General features: G+C 42.2%; 2 protein-coding genes across 2 annotated transcripts in view, besides 4 other annotated features; one reads left to right on the top strand and one right to left on the bottom strand.

The window, feature by feature from the left end:
- MAP3K21 (mitogen-activated protein kinase kinase kinase 21) overlaps window positions 1-12,097 on the bottom strand; it is a 57,425-nt gene extending 45,328 nt beyond the window's left edge. The window contains exon 1 of the mRNA NM_032435.3: window positions 10,988-12,097. Within this exon, the coding sequence (NP_115811.2) occupies window positions 10,988-11,792 (805 nt within the window). The 5' untranslated portion in view covers window positions 11,793-12,097. The remainder of the gene's footprint in view (window positions 1-10,987) is intronic.
- Window positions 11,454-11,653: a silencer, noted in NCBI's record as "silent region_1962". NCBI's record gives its function as "represses an Ori minimal core promoter by ATAC-STARR-seq in GM12878 lymphoblastoid cells {active_cell/tissue: GM12878}" and the evidence as "EXISTENCE:reporter gene assay evidence [ECO:0000049][PMID:35858748]".
- Window positions 11,794-12,093: a silencer, noted in NCBI's record as "silent region_1961". NCBI's record gives its function as "represses an Ori minimal core promoter by ATAC-STARR-seq in GM12878 lymphoblastoid cells {active_cell/tissue: GM12878}" and the evidence as "EXISTENCE:reporter gene assay evidence [ECO:0000049][PMID:35858748]".
- Window positions 11,843-11,994: a silencer, noted in NCBI's record as "fragment chr1:233463573-233463724 (GRCh37/hg19 assembly coordinates)". NCBI's record gives its function as "represses an EF-1alpha promoter that drives an FKBP-Casp9 reporter gene in an ReSE screen in HepG2 liver carcinoma cells {active_cell/tissue: HepG2}" and the evidence as "EXISTENCE:reporter gene assay evidence [ECO:0000049][PMID:32094911]".
- Window positions 12,284-12,583: a silencer, noted in NCBI's record as "silent region_1960". NCBI's record gives its function as "represses an Ori minimal core promoter by ATAC-STARR-seq in GM12878 lymphoblastoid cells {active_cell/tissue: GM12878}" and the evidence as "EXISTENCE:reporter gene assay evidence [ECO:0000049][PMID:35858748]".
- The window catches only part of PCNX2 (pecanex 2), a 343,895-nt gene continuing 333,220 nt past the window's right edge, over window positions 12,492-23,166 (top strand). The window contains exon 1 of the mRNA XM_047430870.1: window positions 12,492-12,592. The gene's annotated coding sequence lies outside the window, so the exon portion shown is untranslated. The remainder of the gene's footprint in view (window positions 12,593-23,166) is intronic.

The following is a 23,166-nucleotide window of genomic DNA, read 5'->3' as shown; positions in this document are numbered from 1 at the left end:
TGTATTAGGATCTGGACATTAAGAAATGAAGACTCTTGGCCAGATGTGGTGCCTCAAGCCTGTAATCCCAGCACTTTGGGAGGCTAAAGCGGGAGGATCACTTGAGCCCAGGAGTTCAAGACCAATCTGGGCAATACAGTGAGAACCAACCCCTACAAAAGAACTTAAAAAGTGGCTGGGCATCATGGTACTCGCCTATATAGCCCCAGCTATTTGGGAGGCTGAGGTAGGATTATGACTTGAGCCCAGGAGGTTAAGGCTGTCCTGGGCTGTGATAGCACTGCTGCACTCCAGCCTGGACAACAGAGAAAGACCCTGCCTCAAAAAAAAAAAAGAAGAAGAAGAAGAAGGAGAAGGAGGAGGAGAAGGAGGAGGAGAAGGAGGAGGAGAAGGAGGAGGAGAAGGAGGAGGAGGAGGAGGAGAAGGAGGAGAAGAAGGAGAAGAAGGAGAAGGAGGAGAAGGAGAAGAGGGAGAAGAGGGAGAAGAAGAGGAAGAAGAAGAAGAGGAAGAAGAAGAGGAAGAAGAAGAGGAAGAAGAAGAAGAAGAAGAAGAGGAAGAAGAAGAAGAAGAAGAAGAAGAAGAAGAAGAAGAAGAAGAAGAAGAAGAAGAAGAAGAAGAAGAAGAAATGATTGTTTTAAAAATAATTGTAGCAAAACAGTTATTTGAATATTCATCTATCAGTGGCATTTGATACGGTTGATCATTCTTCCCTGAAATACTTTCTTCACTGGTCTCCACACTCCTGATTTTACCCTTTACTTCTAGCTATTCTTGGGTCCTCCCTGTCTCCCTGACCTCTAAAGACTGGAGACTACGAGGACTCAGTCCGTGGACCTCTGTCTAGTTTTTTCTTATTTACACTCACTCCCTAGATAATCTCAGCCAATCTCAGGGCTTTACATACCTTTTCATGCTGATGACTCTCACATTCATATTTCCAACCTGGTTCCCCTTCATCAAATTTCAAAACTGCTGCCAGTATAGTCCTGTTAATATGTAAATCAGACCACAGCTCTCCTCTGTTCAAAAGTCTCTTGCGTCGTAGTAAAAGTCAAAGACCCTGTAGGGCCCCCAAGACTGCATAGTCTGAGGGATCCCTGCTTCTCCCTCATGTGCTGCTGTTCTGCCCACCTTCACTTTTCTCCCAGCACACTGGCCTCTTGTTTTAGAAATCTTGCAATTTCTGTTCTCTGTAACAAGCATGTTCTTTCCCAGATGACCCATTTCCTCACTTACTTAGATACTGCTGAAAATCCATCTTTTCTGCAAGACTTTGCTTAGACACACAATCTTTGACTGCTCACTTCAACATTTCCATCCTCCTTTGCAACTTTAGTTTTTATACTAAGCACTTACCACTCTCCAAGATACTACACATTATTTATTTTGCTTAATGTCTGTCTCACTCACTAGAATACAAGATCCTTAAGGGAGGAATTTGTGTCTGCTTTGTTCACTACACAATACCAAGCGCCTAGGAGAGTTCCGCATATAATATATGATCAACAAGTAACTGTTGTATAAATGAAAGAGCTAGCATACCAAATACAAGAAGACAGGCTTCTGTAAAGAAAAAACAGATGTGATAAGCTAAAACAGAACTTCACATTGCTCATATACTGAAATAAAATCCATCTTTCATGGGACAAGCCTTTACATGGACATGTAGTATACTCAGTTTTAATGAGAAAATCACTTACATTTCATTGTATGTAAAGTCTAGCTCTAAATTTCTATCATGTTAGTATTTTAATAGTCAAGGTACATAATAAAGCATACTGAGGCAGAAATCTTTCATAATATTCTACATTAATATATTAGCAAGAACATAACATATTTAATACAACCAGATGCATTATTTGCAGAAAATCTGAAACAAAATAAACCACTTAAAATCACGTGAAGCCAAATCTTCAGAAGTAACAATTCAAACATCCTATATGCCATCAAGATACTTCCCGAAATGGAATGTGATTTGCTCTTTTTCCAATAGCTTAAAAAATGCACAAACTAGTAATGAACCGTGGTAGTGAAACAGTTACAAGAGCAATTTAATACTTTATGCCTCCACCTTGACCCAACTTATCAACCCAAGTCACCAGCAGGCCTGCCAAAGTGTACAGATCTCAGCACACCTGCAGGGAACAAGGCTCAGAACTGTTTCCTCATACTGCAGGCTGCCTGGAATCACCCAAGTTAGCCAAATTAAAAAGACCCTCACCTCCAACCAAGATGAACAAATACCTGATTAAGTGACACCTGATTTTGCAGAAAGAATAAAAATAGTAACGTTATTAGGCTGTAAAGAGTTGTAGAAAATGTTTAGGTATCAATGAGTTCACACACACACAACATTAGGAAATATTTAAAGCACAAATATTTTAAATGTAAAACACTTAGAAGTGTTTCTAAGTAAAATATTAAAATGAATATAGTCAACAGCTTGCATTTAAATTTTGTCTTACAGTTTACTAAATTCTTTGACATATATGAGGAATTGGCAAACTAGAGCCCACAGGCTAAATCCAGCACAATGCCACTTTTGTAAATAAAGTTTTATTGGAACACTGCCACATTCATTTGTTTACATATTGTCAAGGATTTTTTTTGGCTACAACAGCAGAATTACATAGTTGCAAACAGAGACCATATGGGCTGCAAAACCAAAAAGATTTACTATCCGGCCCTATACAGGAGAAATTTGCCGACCCCAGACATACACTGTCTCACTTAATCCTCACGTCACCCTATTCAAAAAGCTAGTGGAGTCAGACAGAGCTCAAACCTACTACCACAAATAACACCATTTGTCCTCCAATGTGAAAGGAACAAACGCTCTGAGATGTTCCTTTTCCCAGAGTCATACGCCAGAATACATCAGGCATACTGTCACCTGGCTCCTGCTATGACTTACCATACATTTATCAGCAGACAGTTACTTGATTTGGATATAGTCTGTAGCCATGGAAGAATTTCTATATCAACCCAGATAACATATAAGAAGGAATCCATAAATCTGGTCCTCAGAACTGTAGCTTTCAAACTTTGCTGTATATCTATATTTGCTGAATCATCTGGAATCTTCAAAGAAAAATTATTGTTTCCTCATAAAGTAAGATAGACTAATGAATGCATATGGGTTAAATCTATGTTAAAGCACATTAGTGAAATGTTAATGGTAGAATCTAGGCAGTGGGATTATAAGTGAAATAATTTTTGTAAGTGAATAATTTTAAGGGATTTTTTTATTTTATTTTATTTTATTTATTTATTTATTTATTTGACGGCATCTGGCTCTGTTACCCAGGCTGGAGTGCAGTGGCACAATTTCAGCTCACTACAACCTCCACCTCCTTGATTCAAGCAATTCTCCTGCCTCAGCCTCCCAAGTAGCTGAGATTACAGGCACCCACCACCACGTCCGGCTAATTTCTGTATTTTTAGTAGAGACAGGGTTTCACCATGTTGGCCAGGCTGATCTTGAACTCCTGACCTCAAGTGATCCACCCACCTCAGCCTCCCAAAGTACTGGAATTACAGGTGTGAGCCACCATACGCAGCCTTAAGTAAAATTTTAATTTTCACTTAAAACTATGTCAGTTCTATATATTCCAAGATTTTCCAAATAAAATATTAGGGAAAAAATGCATCGCTTATTCCTAAGGTTCACTGAAGCAGAATATCCAAAAATGAGGCAGAACATGTTATTTTTAAAAAGTTCTCAGAGAGATTCTGACGCCACAATAGGTGTGGGAACTACTGCTAAAGAGTGTCATTCTGGATCAACAGAACTAATCATTTAGCCTAGAGGTTCTCAAAGTATAGTCTAGGGATCCCTGGGGTTCCCTAAGATGGTGACAGTGTGAATGCAGAAGCAGATATGAACATCCATCTGTCTTCTCCCAAAGTCTGGCATTAAAGTGAACTCTACAAGTGCAAATAAATGCCACCATCCTCATTAAATTTGTTTGGGAAAATATGGGGGTTTTCCCATTACAAATGCTACGTTAAGATGTAATGGGGTCTATTGTTATATTCATATTATTAAACATTTTTAAAATGTATCATTTTAAATTTCTAATATGATAAATATTAATTGCTATAAACCAAAGCTCTTTGGGAGTCCTGAAAGCAAATATTTGAGAACTGTTAATCCAGGCAATATACGGAGACAATAAAACACAAGTTCCAGGATCAGAGGTCCCAGATTTAATTCTTAGCACTCCCCTCTGATGGGTTGAATGACTTTGATCAAGTCAGTTAATCATTGAGTTCAGTTTTTTTTTTACCTGTAAATTGGGGATAATTAGAGCGCCACCTCAAAAGGTTGTAGTGACAAATAAATGAGGATAAATTGTGAGTAGTGCTCGGCATCTAATATGCCCTAAATAAATGTTAAAAACTCATCTTGTTACTATTAGGTTGGTGTACAAGTAATCGTGGTTTTGCAATTATTAATACTATTATTTAGTTAAAAGCACTCAACGTGAAGCAATATTTGGAGAAGATGAATTTTAAAAACTAAATTCACACTGCCAAGGGGTCAACTGTACAAATTTAAGTTTCAGGCTCCAAAATAAAGCCATCACAGCTCTCCCAGGTCCCCCACAAAACCCTCTGCCCATTAAAATTCCTTCATTGGGGTGCTTCTATTTTTCGGGAGCCCTGGATTGCCTCAGAGGGTTTGGGGAGCCTCAGAGAGTTTGGGGACAGTCATTAACATTTGGAGTTAAGATCATCAGCCTGACACGGTAAAGCTAGAGAATATTTTCCAATTTTGGAAGTAGTTAGAAATGTAACAAACCTGCACATTGTGCACATGTACCCTAGAACTTAAAGTATAATAAAAAAAAAAAAGAAAGAAAGAAATCAGAGAGAAAATGTAGTCTAAATTAATTCAGTAAACAAATTGTGATGCTAAAAACTAGGCTTGAATTGTAAATGATAAACAATGTGGTCAAACCAATGTCTAAGTAAGTTATTTTAGTTTTTATTATTGCCATTCTGACAATCTATGATAGTACAGTCATAAAGCAATGACCGCAAGCTTATGTTTCTCTCTCTGTAGATGTGTTTTCTTGCAGCAGATCATACTACACTACTCCTCAATAACCATCAATGGCTCTCCCTTGCCTCTTAAATAGTCCACACATCTTAGTATGGCATCCATGGCACTCACTGCCTGACCACATGCGAAATGCCTGTTTCCTTCCCCCCCAAAAAAACCCTTTCTCCACTTTTCATTCTAGTTACACCTAACTACTCATTGTTCCCTGAAAAAGCCATATGTTTTTATGCCAGTATTTACCTAATTGGCTTTAATGGGTTAAGAAACATTAAACAGATTTTCCCTACAGGACTTCTGACAGATCTCCCAAGAAACGAATACAGTATCAGAAATCAAGACAATCAGTCTCAATGAAGTTATATAACTTGCTCAAGGTCACACAGCTAGTAAATGAGGACACTGATATTCAAATCCAGATCTGACTGACTTTAAAGGCAATGCTAGATAGAGCCAGAGGTGGTGTCTCTTACATGTAATCCCAGCACTTTGGGAGGCTGAGGAGGAAAGATGATGGCTTGACTCCAGGAGTTTGAGACCAGCCTGGGCTACACAGCAAGACCTTGTATTAAAAAAAAAAAAAAAAAAAAAGTCCAGGCACGGTGGCTCACACCTGTAATCCCAGTACTTTGGGCGGCCGAGGCGGACGGATCACGAGGTCAGGAGATCAAGACCATCCTGGCTAACACGGTGAAACCCCATCTCTACTAAAAATACAAAAAAAAATTAGCTGGGCGTGGTGGCGGGCGCCTGTAGTCCCAGCTACTCGGGAGGCTGAGGCAGGAGAATGGCGTGAACCCGGGAGACGGAGCTTGCAGTGAGCCAAGATCGTGCCACTGCACTCCAGCCTGGGGACAGAGCGAGACTCCGTCTCAAAAAAACAAAAACACACACAAAAAAGCCAATGCTGTTTCCCTTAGCTGCACTATTCTGGTAGGTTTAGCACTTAAATGCTAGTGTGAAAAAGCAGGGCTTACAAATGACCTTCTTAAATGGGTAGAGCAGATAAATACTTTCCTCTGTCTCCTTTACCCTGCTTTGATATACTTGATAATGATTACAAAACTGATCAAATACGGATACTTTGCATAATTCAGAACTAACTAGCTATACCCCTCACAACTACAAAAAAATAAGACATTGCCTATTTTTTTTTTTAATTTTAATATTTGTAGTCCAGGGTCTCACCATGTTCCCCAAGCTGGTCTCAAACTCCTGGGCTCAAGCGATCCTCCCACCTTGGCCTCCCAAAGTGCCAGGATGATAGATAGGTATGAGCCACTACACCTGGCCAGCTACTTACTTTTTAATACGCAAACATGAAAATGATGGGGGAAGATGTGGTGACTCTTTTGTGATTGCCATTCTTCTAAAAGTCTAATCTTTCACTAACTTTGTTTCAAAAGCAGATGTAGATCTCAGTTACCATTGGGACATCTGGACTGACTTCTCTGTGCCTCCTGGAATAGGAAGCAGCTATAGCATGAAGCTACATGTCCTGAGTATAAGAACAGAAGAGAGAAGGAACTTATGTCTTACAACTGATAATAGTGAAATTAGTAGCTTCCCCAAATCACTCTGATGAGCTATTTAAACATCTTATCTGGAGATTACATTTTCCATAATTTTCTCAGATAGTTCTTTTATTTACACAGTACTAATGAAAAAAAGCTAAAACAAAATTTATATTCCTTTTGCAGTTTGTCATAGTAAGAGCTCCAAATGGCATTTCATAATAAATACAACTATTGTAGTTGTAAATAATACTGTAGATAGATAATAATTATTCCTAAAAGACTAAAAAAATTGAGATAATAAATGCTTAATCACTGACATAAAAAGTATAAAAGTAAGTAGCTACCATAATTTGTGGCTCAGTTCCCCATGGAAAGTTTATTTCCTCTTAAGAAAAAAAAAATAGAACACAATAAGCAACATCAAAAAAGAAAAAGGAAACCATACATGATGCCACATAATCTTACTTCAATCTTGCACTTCTGCAATTTGATAAATAAAACTCTTAAACAAAATTCTAATATTTCAAACCATCCTTGGGAATTCTTATATTGCAGTATTTTATCTTCACTGCCCCCTGGTAACCTCCCTGCAAAATACTTCCATTGCTACCACTCTGGGCAGAGTCGGTGCCTCCTCTCATATAGACAACCTTGAAAGCCATCACTTGAGCCCACTGCAGTCCGTTCTTCACAGAAGCCAGCACCATCACTCCAAGTGAAACCTCCATGTGCACAGCAGAGGGAGGCCTGCCAGGCCTGCCCCACGCATGCCTCTCCTCACCAGCCTTCTCCTTAGGCCTCCAATATGGAAGGCTCATTTTTGCTTCCTCTTTCCTTTGCCTGGGTCTTTGCTTGACGAATTCGTGGTCCTTCCTCGGAGTGCCTTCCCTGGAGAGCCCCTGTGTGAAACAGCACCCCCATCCTCCACTCTACCACTCTCCACCCCTTACCATGCTTAATTTTCTTGATGGCATTTTCTAATCTATTTGTTATTACGTGACTGCCATCTATCTTCCCCGTTAGACTAAGCTCTATGATGGCAGATTTGTTGTCATTGATGTCTGGCTTGCCAGTGTCCCTGAGGCCCAGAAGTGACTGGCACAGGGTGGGCATTCCAACAGTGTTGAATGAGTTCCAGCTCTCCACAATGTTTCTCTCTTCTGTAAATGCGCATAACACTGGCGATTTTCACAGTAACTCAAAGTTGCCTTGTATTGTTCTCTGGGGGGTGCCTATAGGTAGACTTATATAAAGTATTTTCTACTTATTTTGCATCCAGAAGGGAGTTACAGGGCCTAGTATTTATTTAAAACATAAATGTTGCTTAAAGCTTGCTAACTTGGCACAACTTTCAACCTGTTGCTACCTGTTAGAAAAGGGACAAAGTTGTTTATATCATTCACAACATATCAGCTATTATCTAGACACAGACATTCCCTCACAAGATATGATAAAACTTGAGAAGATCTACTAGAAAAGATAAAAGAAAATCTGTCAAGAGTAACATATTCTCTAGACAAATTTAAATATTTGTTTAAAACAGTAATTTCCACTGAATTGGCTCCAAGTAGTCTTCTATTAGCTCTTTGGTACATGAGTACACTTCGGAGTGAAAATAAAATTCAATATTGATTTTTAAAACCTTGTTTACGTTATCACTAACTCACTACCACCATTAGCAAATATCCAATAAAATCAAACAAAACATACTGCAATAGAGTATCTGTTATACTTAAAAGTCTAAACAAGAAGTCATAGCTTCATATATCAGCAGAGAATTTCAAATCTGCATTTATTCATTGAACAAATAAAATCAGACATTCAGGATAAAGACCATGTATGAGGCACCATGGTTTGCACATTCTAGACCCCAGTCAAACTCTTCACTTTATAGTAATTAAATAACTATGATAATGGTCATATTGTAACAAATACTTGGCCAGGCTAGTGACTAGCTAATTAAGTCTTTTATAAGAGTGCAACAATTTAAAGCAAAGGGAATCCTGCCTGACAATTATAGAAATTAAAATACTCCGGGAAGTTTGGCAATTTATTCTGAGACTGAAAAGTCTTTCAAAAACTAAGTAGCAGCATGTAATCACCATCAAATTATGTAATATCTACTGAATACACAGTAGTCTATACTCCACTATACAAGTTTTTCTGGTGTCAGTAAAAACTGTTCGGCCATAGTTATTATTCCAGGGTCATGTTATTTCTTTTTACCATTTAATAATATTAGGAGTTCTTTAAACATTTATATTTTATAAAAGTTTATAAAACTTTATAAAACTTTATAAAAATTTACTATTTGCAATAATTGCTATGGATTGTTGATTGATCCATAAATCCTATGGATTAACCCATAGGAATGGATAAACATCCTTTAAAACATGCTTTAAAAACACTAGCAAACATTCTCTACCCTGTGTTGTATGAACTTTGAAAAGTATTGCAACCAAACAAAACTAAGTGCAGTGTAAAAGTAATAGCTATAGGCCCTTTAACTTTTTAGCCTAAGGACCAGTACAACCCAAGTGTTTGCTTGTGTTGATGATTTGGATACATTTGCAGAATGTTGGGTTCTGTGTTGTCACAGAGTTGCTGCAACTGCCAAGAGGCAGGGGAAAGAATGAATGGTGCTGTTGATGTCCTTAAAATACCTGGTTCTGCAGAAAACTCCTAACAGACGCAGGCTTTCAGGACACCATTGGAAATAGGGCTTATGGAACACATGGACAAGTCACCCATTCTATGGCAGCACCTGGTCAGACGTTTCTTTTATTGAAAAAAATATATATATATTATCGAAAGAAAAGTATATTTTAGGAAATTGCGCTCTGTTTTTACTGTAACACAGTTCAAAAGCAAGCAATGCTATAGTCCTTCATGTGGTCTGTCAAAGTACTAAGAATACACCGCTACCAGTAACAACATATTTTGTTAGACTTTGCTCTCATCACCTAAGCAGATGCAATCTAAATTATAGAGAGACTTGGGGGGAAGGAGGATCATGAAATAAAACCTAATGCTTATGCTTAGCTACAACATTCCAATTATTTACAATTCCCAGTGAAAATGCTACATTAGTAATTTTCAAGTAAATTTCTTCTTGTCACTCTTCTTTAGGGACAATGTTTTCACTTGAGCTAGCTCCTGTCCTAGCAGGTTTCACAGGATTGAAAGACCTCCAGCTGTTGTAGGCCAATGCCAGGGCTGGCTGCATCCTTTAACCTTCCCTGGGATTTCATCTCATTATAAGAATATGAAGCGATCTTCAATATTAAAGAACCAACATCAAACAGCAATTCTATAGGCTCTTTTATACAGCAAAGTTTCATAGGATTTGCATTTAAGTCATTTGTCAGTTCTTTATTGACATCTGGAAAATCCACCCTGATTTATAAACAAAGTCAATGACACTGGCCAGGTCTTCAAGGTTTCAAGTACCTGTGCAAGGACAATGCACTTGTTATTAACCCAAAAGTGCATTACGGTGCACACCAGTGCCTCTTGTCTGGAGAAAAGAAGCCATTGAACCAATAATAAAATCATATTTCACGTAGAGACACTTTTTTTTTTTTTGAGACAGAGTCTCACTCTATCTCCTAGGCTGGAGTGCAGTGGCGCGATCTTGGCTCACTGCAACTTCCGCCTCCCGGGTTCAAGTGATTCTCATGCCTCCGCCTCCCGAGTAGCTGGGATTACAGGCGCCTGCCACTACGCCGGGCTAATTTTTGTATTTTTAGTAGCGACAGGGTTTCGCCATGTTGGCCAGGCTGGTCTCAAACTCGTAACCTCAGGTGATCCGCCCACCTCGGCCTCCCAAAGTGCTGGGATTACAGGTATGAGCCACCGCGCCTGGCCCATAGAGAGACATTTGAATGAAAACAGTCTTTGGAAAAGGTAAGAGACATGAAGTCATATTTTGAATAGGCAAACAGCAACCTCAATACAGCACTTGTAAAGTTGACGTCCCCGAGTGCATTCGGGGACTTTGATGAAGGCCACCGGGTGAAGACGGTCATGGGTTCCATATAATCTGCAGAAGGCCTCGGTTTGCAAAGTCCTACCCAGATGAATCACCTCTGGTATTGAAAGGCCAGACTGCCCCCTGAGGTTTCTAGGAGATCCAGGTATTTTACAAATGTTTCCTCTACAAGCAAGTCTGGTCTGAACTTTTTTAAAAAGCACCCAAAGGCAAGTCAAGGTTAAGCGTGTCACCAGCCCCAAAGCAAGTAACCAAGGACTAGCTGGACTTCCGAGCCCTGAAGGCCTGGGCATGAGTTGCTGCTGGCGCCCTAAGGCTGACTCCCACCTCTTTCCATCTGGTACTATGTCCTGTGGAGCCCGCCTGGGCTGGCACGGAGGTAGTCTTCCCCCACCTCCCTCTGGCCCCACTTACTGTTGCTGGACTTGAGGTCCCGGTGCAGGATGGGCACGAAGGCCTCCTCATGCAGGTAGAGCATGCCCCGCGCTATCTGCACGGCCCAGTTGACCAGCACGTGCGGAGGGATGCGGCGCGCGCGGCGGGGGCCGGGCGCGCGCGGGTCCGGGGCGGCGTTGGCAGCGGCCAGCGCTCGGTTGAGCGCTCCGCCGCGGGCGAACTCCAGCACCAGGCAGAGGTGCGGCTGCTGCAGGCACACGCCGCGCAGCTCGATGATGTTGGGGTGCCGCAGCATGGCGAAGAGCCGAGCCTCGCGCCGCACGCTCTCGGCAGCCGCCGCCGCGTCCTGCTCCGGGTCCTGGCGCGCCGCCTTCACGGCCACCTCCTGGCCCTGCCAGGTGGCGCGGTACACCTGCCCGAAGCCCCCAGCGCCGATGAGCTCCTTCAGCTCCAGCCGCTCGAAGGCGACGTGTACCGGGGAGCTGGGCCGCGAGGGCGGCGGCGCGGGGCTGGCGGCCGGGCGGCAGGGAGCCACGTAGTTGGCGGGGAAGATGCCGAGGCGCCGCTGCACCTGGCCTGCCCACCAGCCCTCGTCGCCCGACACGGCGGCGTCCTGCGACAGCACCTCCACCAGCTGGCCGCGCCGCAGGCTCAGCTCGTCCTCGCCGCGAGCCTCGTAGTCATAGAGCGCGGCCCACAGCCCCGCGCCCGCCGAGGCCGAGCCGCCCGAGGAGGTGGACGACGAGGACGCTGAGCCGCCGGGGGCTCCCCCGGCCGAGGACACCGGGGTGTCGGTCGCTCCCGCGGCGCCCCGCAAAGCCATGGGGGCAGCTGCGCGGGGAAGGCGGAGCGGGAAGCTGGGCTCAGCCTCCCGGGCGGCCGCGGGCGCGCATCGTCCGGCGGTGTGGCCGTCGGCGCCGGGGGAAGGCGAGGGGGTAGGAATCGCGATCGGTGACGGCAGAGATCACGGGCTAGCTGCCCAAAGGGTCCAGCCTCGGCCCGCGTTCCTGGCCAGCCGCCTCTGCTGCCGCAGCGGTCCCCGAAGCCGCGGGCGACGTCCCACCATGGTCGTGCCCAGGCCCTGCGGCCGGCCCGCCCGCCGCGCGCTCCTTAGCCAGAGCCTGGGACGCCCCACCCCACCCTAGCCGCGCCAGGGCCGCCCCGCCCCCTCCGGCTCCATTCCGCACCGCCCCCCCACCCCCCCGGGCCCGCCCCTAGGCCAGTCCCCAGGGCCTTCCCGCCCCTCCCCCAGCCGCCCCGCCCTCTCCAGGTTCATTCCGCCCTCCTTGACCCGTCCCGGGCGCCCAGTCTGCGCCCGCCCTATGGGACCGCCTTCCTAGGTTCGCCCCACCCTTCCCCACCAACTGCACCATCCCGCCCCGCCCTCGCCAGGTTCACTTCCCTTTTCTGTGCCAGTCCCCAGAGCCTCGTCCCGCCCCTGGCGCCCGGGCCCGTCCCCCACCACCTTGGGCCGGGCCCGCCCCCTGGGCCCGCCTGGCTGGTCCCACCCCGCCCCCGCCGCAGGTGCTCCGGAGCAATGGTGAGCCGCGCCCACATGGTCTGGGAGGCGGGATCGGCCGTCATCCGCTATAAATTTTCGGGAGAGTTTAAATTAAGCCAAAGGTAAGACTGAGGGAGGGGACGCTTCTCCAAGAAGCGGTGGGAGAGGGTTGAGAAGATGTGGGGCTTTAGGGTGTGGCGGGGAGAGAGAGAGTTGCAGTTCAGGGAGAGTGACAGAATCTCAGAACGGGCTACAGAAGAAATTGTAGCGCGGTGCCAGACCTGGGCCAGTGCGAGTGGCAAGTCACCATGCTAAGTGCGTTTGAGCCACCGTGCATCTCAGAACTGACTAGGTTACAGATCGCAGCGCAGAGTGACCCGTGGTCGGTATAGTCCCAGAAGCTCCATGATGGTAAATCCTTTGCTTATTTTTACTGTCTACTCAGATGGAAAATGCCCCAGTCTCCCTGGAAACCCACAGGTTTGGGTTTAGGAAGCATTGGCAATGGCTGGGTGCCAGACGTTGGTAGGTTACTGTGGCAGGTGATGAGGCTAAAAAGATAGAAGAGCTTAGTTATTAAAATTCTAAAATATTAGATTATCCTGTAGTAGGCCAGAATTTCCTAACGTGTGGATCCTGTACTTCCAATAACAGAAGGGACAATTTTAGATATTATGAGGATAGGACATACAGTAACATTCTGAGTTACATAAAGATAAATTTATTGTCTTTTCAGTTTTCTTTGTCTCTCAGATCAAACTATTTATTGGCTGTGTGACCTTGAGCAAGTTTCTTTATTTCTCTATGACTCAGTTTTCTCATCTATAAAATGGGAATATAATAAATAGTACCTACTTTATAGGGTTTTTAGGAAGACTAAATGAGTTAATAGTTTTACAGTGGGTCTTCTGCATCCACAGAATCAACCAACAGCTGGTCAAAAATGTTTTTTAAAAACCCAAAAAATAACAATACAAATAATACAAATAAAATACAGCATAACAACTATTTACAGAGCATTTACATTATATTAGGTATTATAAGTAATCTAACTATTTAAAGTATGGGCATACTTTGGAGATACTGCAAGCATGGTTCCAGATCACTGCAATAAAGCAAGTGACATGAATTTTTTGATTTCCCAGTGCATATATATACAAGTTATGTTTCCAGTATACTGTAGCGTATAAAGTGTGCAATAGCATTGTGTCTAAAGAATGTTTATACCTTAATTTTAAGTACTTTATAGGTAAAATGTGCTAATGATCATCTGAACCTTCAGCAAGTCATAATCTTTTAGCTGGCAGAGGTCTTGCCTCTATGTTGATAGCTGCTGACTGATCAAGGCAGTGGTTGCTAAAAGTTGGAGTGGCTATGGCAAATTCTTAAGGCAACTATGAAGTTTGTCACATGGATTGACTTTACCTTTCACGAAAGACTTCTCTGTAGCATGGGAAGCTGTTTGATACCATTTTAACAACAATAGAACTACTTTCAAAATTGGAGTGATCCTTCTCCCACCCTGCTGCTATTTTACCAACCGAGTTTGTGATATTCAAAATCCTTTTTGTCGTTTCAAAATGTTCATAGCATCTCCTCTGGGAGTAGATTCCATCTCAAGAAACTACTTTTTTTGCCTCTCCATAAGAAGCAACTCCGCTCCTCATCTGTTCAAGTTTGATCATGAGATTGTAGCAATTCAGTCACATTCTCAGTCTCCACTTCTCGGCTCATGCAAGCTCCGCCTCCTGGGTTCGCGGCATTCTCCTGCCTCAGCCTCCCGAGTAGCTGGGACTACAGGTGCCCACCACCACGCCCAGCTAATTTTTTTTGGTTTTTTTTTTTTTTGTATTTTTAGTAGAGACAGGGTTTCACTGTGTTAGCCAGGATGGTCTCGATCTCCTGACCTCGTGATCCGCCCCCCTCGGCCTCCCAAAGTGCTGGGATTACAGGTGTGAGCTATCGTGCCTGGCCTCAGTCTCCACGTCTAATTCCAGTTCGCTTGCTATTTTCACCACATCTGCAGTTCCTTTCTCCTCTGAAGTCGTGAACTTCTCAGTCATTCACGAGGGTTAGAATCAACTTCTTCCAAACTCCTGTTAATGTTGATATTTTGATCTCCTCCCATGAATTATGAGTGTTTTTAATGGCATCTAGAATGGTGAATCCTATTTACCTTGCCCATATCTCATAGCAGAGCAATTGCTATCTTTGGCACCTATGGCCTTACAAAATGTATTTCTTAAATAATAAGACTTAAAAGTCAAAGTGACTTTGTAATCCATGGGTTACTGAACGGGTGTTGTGTTAGCAGGCATGGAAACAACATTTATCTCCTCGTGCATCTCTAGCAGAGCTCTTGGGTGACCAGATACATTGTCAATGAGTAGTAATATTTTGAAAAGAATCATTTTTTTCTGAGCAATAGCTCTTAACAGTGGGCTTAAAATATTCAATAAACTGGCCAGGTGTGGTGGCTCACACCTGTAATCCCAGCACTTTGGGAGGCCGAGGTGGGCAGATCACCTGAGGTCAGGAGTTTGAGACCAGCCTGGCCAACAATCTCTATTAAAAATACAAAAATTGGCCAGGTGTGGTGATGCACACCTGTAATCCCAGCTACTCTGTAGGCTGAGTCAGGAGAATCACTTGAACCCGGGAGGTGGAGGTTGCAGTGAGCCGAGATCATGCCAGTGCACTCCAGCATGGACAACAGAGCAAGACTCCGTCTCAAAAAAAAAAAAAAAAAAAATTTCAGTAAACCATCCTGTAAACAGATGTGCTGTCATCCAGGCTTTGTTGTGCCATTGATATGGCACAAGCAGAGTAGATTTAGCATAATTCTTAAGGGCCCTAGGATTTTCAGAATAGTAAATGAGCATTGGTTTAAACTTAGTTACTGGCTGCATTAGTCCTTAACAAGAGAGTCAGCCTGTCCTTTAAAGCCGGGTCTGGACTTCTCTCTAGTTATGAAAGTCCTAGATGGCATCTTCTTCCAATAGAAGACTGTTTTGTCTACATTGAAAATCTATTGTTTAGTGTATCCACCTTCATCAATTATCTTAGCTAGATGTTCTGGATAACTAGTTGCAGCTTCTACATTAGCACTTGCTGCTTCACCGTGCACTTTTACGTTGAGATGACTTCTTTCCTTAAACCTCATAAGCCAACCTCTACTAGCTTTCTAACTTTCTCACCTCTCTCAGCCTTTCTAGAATTGAAGAGAGTTAAGGCCTTGCTTTGGATTAGGCTTTGGCTTAAGGGAATGTTGTAGCTGGCTTGATCTTTTATCCAGACTGCTAAAATTTTCTTCATATCAGCAATAAGCTTGTTTGTCTTTCTTATCATTCATGTGTTTATTGGAGTAGCACTTTTAATTTCCTTCAAGAACTTTTGCATTCATGACTTGGGCAACTGGTGCAAGAGGCTTAGCTTTCAGCCTATCTTGGCTTTTCACGTGCCTTCCTCACTAAGCTTAATCATTTCTAGCTTTTGCTTTAAAGTGAGATAGGTATGACTTTTCCTTTCACTTGAACACCTAGAGGTCATTGTAGAGTTATTAATTGGACTAATTTCAATATTGTCCTGTCTCAGAATAGGGAGGCCTGAGGAGAAGGGAAAGGGACAGGGAATAGCCAGTCAGTGGAGCCAGCCATTTATCACATTTATTAAGTCCACTGTCTGATATAGGTGTGGTTTGTGGTGCTCCAAAACAATGACAATTAGTAACATCAAAGATCACTGATCACAGATCACCATAATACATATCATAGTAATGAAATAGTTTGAAATATTGTGATAATTGCCAAATGTGATACAGAGACACAAAGTGAGCAAATGCTGTTGGAAAAGATGGCACCAAGAGACTTGCTCTTGGAGTGTTGCCACACACCTTCAATTTGTAAAAAATGCAGTATCTGCAAACCACGATAATTTGAAGCATGCCTGTATACAGGAGGATGTGCATAGGTTATATGAAAATACTATACCAGTTTACATATGGGACTTGAGCATCTGATGATTTTAGAATTTGGGGGACTTTAGTATGATAGTACACAAAAAAACATTAACACTTTCCCCAGTGGGGTATGAGGCAGCACCCTATAATCAAACACATTAATATTTCTGTCCTAAAATGTAAGACTATTCTCAGCAAGTGGGATAAATCAACACCACAAACAGCCTTATGTCATTTCAAGTCAAGTTTTGATGCCAAATGAGTTCTGGTGCCACCTTCCAAAAACAGGTTTTTATTTTCAGAGCTTCTTGGGTTTTAGAATTGTGGATGTTTATGGGAAGTGTTCAAGATACTTCTTCCCAGGCTTTGAGCTTGGGCAACTAGGTGGATATTAATGATATGAAATGACCTGGAATATTGTTTTAGAGAAAAGGTAATTTATTGGTGTGTTGCTCTGAGGCAACTGATTATAAAGATGGAACGGGAGAGAACCAGGAACTCAGAAAGACGAAGAAGGGTAGAGGAAATCGTATTTTGGAAGAAGTGTCCTAAGCAGCATGTCAGGTACTGAAGCAAACTTCGCTCTTGGGTCATGCAGAGATCAAGGGTGGGGAAGTGCTGGGGCAGGGTGGGGGTGCCTTTGACTTAGAACGTCCATCTGAAACTATATCCGTTTCATTCATGCTGGCTGACTCTGTGCTCTGCCCTTCTGCTGCCTGCCAAAACAAATCTCATCACGTTCCAGAGGAATCCAGTCTGCAGAATCTTCTAGGTTAGGTAGACTTTACCCCTCTCTTGAGTCGAACGCCTGGTACTAAGAGGAGTGCCAAGTGTCTGTAACCCTCCACACCACAACTCAGATTCCTCCTCCTTGATCACCGACCAGTGTGATTCTCTGGGACCTGTTCCCCATCTGGTACCTCTGAGCAGGAAACTGTCCCAGATGAGAGTCTGTCTTGTGCTTGATTATCCTAAAATGTATCATTTGTTGCTTCGGTGCTATTTTTAACCCCCCAAATCTGGCATTTGGAGAAAAGCATTGGTGTCGTGCCCTACTCATAGGCATGTACTGTAACCACATCTGCTCTTTCGAGTCCAGCACAATCCACCAAGGACATATATCGCAACACAAGAACAGAGAGCTAAGACAGAAATCGGGTGGCAAATGTATATTTAAACAGATGGTGGCAAGAATGAGAAAAGGAAAGAGTTTAAAAGAATTAGACAAAGAGGACAAAAAGTTAGTGTCCAGGAAAGAAGGAATGGCTGTATGGGGTTGCTCTTTTATATATGTATTTGGATTCTCCAATGCTGGTCTTGAAAGAAGAATCAACCCTTAAGAACCACCTTCTGTTTGGGAATCTTTAACTAATTACTGCTTCGCTTATTATCTTAGCTCAGCAGTTCTTAGTGTGATCCGAGGCCCCTGAGAGACCCCTGAGATCTTTTCAGGGGGTCTACAAGGTCAAAACTGTTTTCCTAATTCTAGGAAAATGTTATTTGCTTTTATTCACTCTGTTGACATTTGCACTGATGATGCAAAAAGCAAGGATGAGTTGCACAAACCAAGGTAGTGGCTTCAAACTGTAGTATTCTTCAGTGTCATGCACATGCAGTACAAGAAAAATGCCAGGTTCACTTTAAAATGTCCCTGACAAAGCAGTAAAAAATACCGATTTTATTTACTCTCAAATCCTCAGTACAGGTGATTAATATTCTATATGACAAAATGAGAAATGCATATAAAGCATTTCTGCACACCCAAGTATGATGACATTTTAAAGAAAAAGCACTTGACTGGGCGTGGTGGCTCATGCCTATAATCCCAGCACTTTGGGAGGCCAAGGTGGGCGGATCACTTGAGGTCAGAAGTTCCAGACCAGCCTGGCCAAAATGGTGAAACCCCATCTCTACTAAAAATACAAAAATTAGGCAGGCATGGTGGCTCCCGCCTGTAATCCCAGCTACTTGGGAGGCTGAGGCAGCAGAATCACTTGAGCCTGGGAGGCAGAGGTTGCAGTGGGCCGAGATCATGTCACTGAACTCCAGCCTGGGTGACAGAGCAAGACGCTGTCTCAAAAAAATAAAAAGAAATAAAAAGCGCTTGGGTAATTCTTTGAGTTGTACATTGATCTCACCTGCTTTTTTAATGGAACACCATTTTTACTTGAAAGAATGATTGATAGACAAATTATAATTATTCAGACTTGGATATTAAGAAGACATTTCACCTATAGTTCCAGCTACTCGGGAGGCTGAGGCAGGAGAATGGCGTGAACCCCGGAGGCGGAGCTTGCAGTGAGCAGAGATCGCACCACTGCATCCAGCCTGGCGACAGAGCGAGACTCCATCTCAAAAAAAAAAAAAAAAAAAAAAAAAGAAGACATTTTCTTGAAAATGAACAAAGTGAATCTCTTATTCCGTGGAAAACCACTGGCAGTATTTGTTACCAGTGTTAAAATTTGAGCTTCCAAGCAACAACCAGGATTTTAGAAAGCTTTTAGCTGCTAATATGAGCTCAACAACTTTTCAAATACTTACAAGACTTTCCTGATAAGATTGGTAGTGATATCAATTAATGAGATTTTTGATATTGGGTAATGAGATGTGGCAACATTTGGAAAATCTAAATAGCTCAGAGAACCAATATGTTCCAAACGACCAATGTCATTTTGGTATCTCCAAAGTATGCAAAAAGATCCATTCAAAGTGTATTAAAGAAAAGTTCATTAACAATGGTTTCACATTCCACACTGCAACTAATCTTTAAGCGACTACTACTTTTTTATGGTATCAAAGAATATCCATGGTTACCTGAAAAGGCTGTTAAAGATACATCTGCCTTAGAAAAGATTAGTGGTTATCAAGAGTTAGAGAGGTGAGGAAGGAGAAAGGGAGGAAAGGAACAAGTATAAAAACAGTAGCATGAGAGACCTGTGGGATGGAACTGTACTGTGTCTTGACTGTGATGATGGTTACATAAATCTGCATATGTGATAAAATCACATAGAACTAAATATACACACACACACACACACACACGAATGTATGTAGGACTGGTGAAATCTGAATAAAGTCATTGGATTTTATCAATGTTGACTTCTTAGTTGTGATATTGTATGGTAATTATGCATGATTATTGCATAATTATTGCATAATAATTATGCATAATTCCATTGGAGAAAATCAGGTGAAAGGTTTTAGGATTCCTCTGTATTATTTCTTACAATTGCATGTAAATCTACAACTCCATCCAAACAAAAAGTTAAAAAAATGCTTTGCCTTTTGCAAATACATATCTTTATGAGGCTAGAATTTCTCCATATACTTCAGCCAGGACAATATATTGCAACACGTTGAATGCAGAAACATATAAGACAATGCAGCTGTCTTCTATTAACCCAGGCATAAAAGAAATTTATAAACATATGAAACAATACCAGTCAACTTACCTATATGTTTTAGTTTGGGGAAAATGAATTATTTCTAAAAATGTATTTAATGTTACCATGTAATGGAATTATTAATGTTATCTTTAAAATAAAGCTATAAATAAATATTTTAGATGTCTCTGTTTTAATTTCCAATACAGAAGTGATTGATAGTTATGAAGCACATACACAAAAACTCTTTGAGGTTTTTAATAATTTTTAAGCACATTAAGAGATCCTGAGATCAAAAAAATTTGAGAATTGTCCACAAAGGGAAATAAACTCTGCCGATAAAGCACTTGTTCAAGTGAGGGCATAAGACCCTTTGTTCAAAACCTTGTGATAACACGGGCAGTACAGACAAAGCTGGGTCATTTAAGAAAGATGTTACTAAAGGCAAATGAGACTACGAAATGGAATTCAGCCCTCACATTAACCCAGAACACCTGGCTTTCTCTCTTGGGCTTCCACTTAGACCTGACGACCATAAGCTCAGAGCGTGATTATGCTTTTCCTCTCTCTTGCACCTGCTTTGACTTCAGTTTCCTGTCTGAAAGGAGCCTCAGTAGCTAATACCAGAAAAGATAATCCCTTTCATAGGAGATCTAATCTACCTGCGGGAGCAGTCATGACCCTAGAGAGGAAGAAGAGGAAAAAGTTGCCACGGGAATTGGTGGTGAAGAAACCTCTGACGTTTACAAATTCAGCTTCAGTAGTTCAAAACCATGGGGGGGTGTGGTTTACAGTGAAAAAATGAGGGATGAGGAAGTGGAGATGGTGGGCATTAATCCAGAGTTGTCCTTGCCATCGAGGGTCTTACAGAGTCAAGATAAACCAGTATAAGGAGATAGCAACCCGAGAGAGGGACAGGCTTTGTGGAGTGGATGGAGTTGTGGAGCAGCTGAAAGATGGTGGGTATCAGTGAGGAGGGTTGTGTGAGGTGGACAAATGTCCTGGATTCCTGGTCACAGGACATTCAGTGCTGAAGTCTTGGGGTGGCTGGTCACCCTCAGTATGAGAGAGTCTTGCAGATGAAACGTAAGTGGGGACTTCTGGGTGGGTAGGATTAGGTAAGTGAAAAGGGATGGGAATGGCTGGGCGCAGTGGCTCACGCTTGTAATCCCAGCACTTTGGGAGGCTGAGGTGGACAGATCATCACTTCAGGTCGGGAGTTTGAGACCAGCCTGGTCAACATGGTGAAACCCCATCTCTACTAAAAATACAAAACTTAGCCAGGCATGATGGCAGACACCTGTAATCTCAGATGCTCAGGAGGATGAAGCAGGAGAATCACTTGAACCTGGGCGGGGGCGGAGGTTGCAGTGAGCTGAGATTGCATTACCGCACTCCAGCCTGAACAAGAGTGAGACTCTGTCTCAAAAAAAAAAAAAAAAAAAAGAAAAAGAAAAAGAAAAAGATGGTGGGGGAGTGATGCAATCATGAGGAGATGGAGGAAGAAACTATTCATAGAGACACAGAACAATGATTATGGGTTCACCAGCCATTGAGGTCACTCAACTAGAGAAAAGGATATTTTCTTGGAAGGAGCTGAGAAAGGAAATATGAATAGAAAGACCTTAAAAATGGTCTGAGATATCTGGATATGAGGAGAGATGAAAAACTGCAGCGGTTAAAGGGAGGGGTGAGGAAAAATAGTCCCTCAAAAACTGTATGTGAATTCTTTAAAAAATGGAAAACTTTCTGGGATATAAAATGTTTCCCCCAACTTTTAGTTATTTTTCCCCAAACCTTTCCATTTCTAGAGGTAAAACACACAATTTTAGAGATTATTAGTAGCTCAATAGGATTGCCCATATCAGGCCCCGTGCCAAACTTCTTGAGACAAAAAGCATCTGGATTGGTATCCTGAAACTTTGGAAATGCCAGCTGTCATACTTACCTTGGATTACACTTGGGAGATAGGGCAAGTGTGTATGTGTGTGTGTTTTACCTGGGTGGTATAATTTGGTGTAACCCACCATCAGTTGCTGAGCAATACAAGGGAATATAACACTGCGATTAACAGCAAGCATATGCAGGAAGACATGGACTCCAATCTTGGCTTCGCCTTTGTTACTTGAAACCTCGTCTTTATTCCCCTTTGTAAAATGGTGGAATAATAGTATCTGCCCTGTGGTGTTGTTTTGAGGATTCATTGAGCTAATGCATTAAAGCATAGCATTTAACTAGTGCTAATACATATTAGCTGTTATTTTAATATTAGGTATTGTTTATGAAGGACTTATTGAAACAGAAAATTCAATAGAAGGCATATTTATCCCTTCTCCCCCCGCCCCTCATTTAGTATATTTTCCTACACCAAAGATCAATTTCACTGTGCCAAAAAAATTTAAACATTTTCCTTAGGATAGTCAGAATTAAAAGTTGGATTAGTAACTTCCAAGACTCTCAAGTATATCACATCTAAAAACATAATGCTTTCTGAGCAAACCAAATTATACATATATGAGATTAATTGTAACTTTTATCTTGTTGTCATCAGTTTTTTTTGTTTTGGTTTGGTTTGTTTGTTTGTTTGTTTGTTTTTGAGACAGAGTCTCGCACTGTTGCCCAGGCTGGAGTGCAGTGGCACGATCTCAGCTCACTGCAACCTTTGCCTCCCAGGTTCAAGCAATTCTCCTGCCTCAGCCTCCAGAGTAGCTGGGATTACAGGCACCCATCATCACGCCCAGCTAATTTTTGTATTTTTAGTAGAGACAGGATTTCACCATGTTGGCCAGGCTGGTTTTGAACTCCTGACCTCAGCTGATTCGCCTGCCTCAGCCTCCCAAAGTGCTGGGATTACAGGTTTGAGCCTTTGAACCCAGCCCTGTTGTCACCAGTATTCTGACTTACTCATCATGAACAATGCTGCAATAAATCCAAGTAATAAGAATATTCACTTGGTTTGTAACAGATTGGACAGAATATACAGAAAGATTAGTTTCATCATTTGATACCTATTTTTGTGAACGTCAAGCATTAATTCTAGTTATTTGGAATATAATGGTGAATAAAACAAAGTTGCCTGTTACCATGGAGCTTATATTTTAGCAGGATCAGATGAAAAATAGACAGGATGAATAAGTAAATTATGTAGTATGTTAGATTTGATAATTTCTTTATAAACATTAAGAGGAGTGTAAGAAAAGATGGGTAAGATGAGTCAGGAATGGGGAGGGGGTTAACCTGGTATTCAGTAGGGAGGACAGAGTAGCCTCATTGAGAAGATAAGATTTGAGCAAAGACTTGAGGGACAGGAGGGGTTTGGCAAGCAATTATCTGGAGAAAGTTTAAGTGAACAAAT

The sequence above is a fragment of the Homo sapiens genome, chromosome 1 (assembly GCF_000001405.40).
Source record: "Homo sapiens chromosome 1, GRCh38.p14 Primary Assembly".
Taxonomy (NCBI): Eukaryota; Metazoa; Chordata; class Mammalia; order Primates; family Hominidae; genus Homo; species Homo sapiens.
Note: the sequence above shows the minus strand (reverse complement) of the source record. Positions and strands in the feature narration are given on the sequence as shown.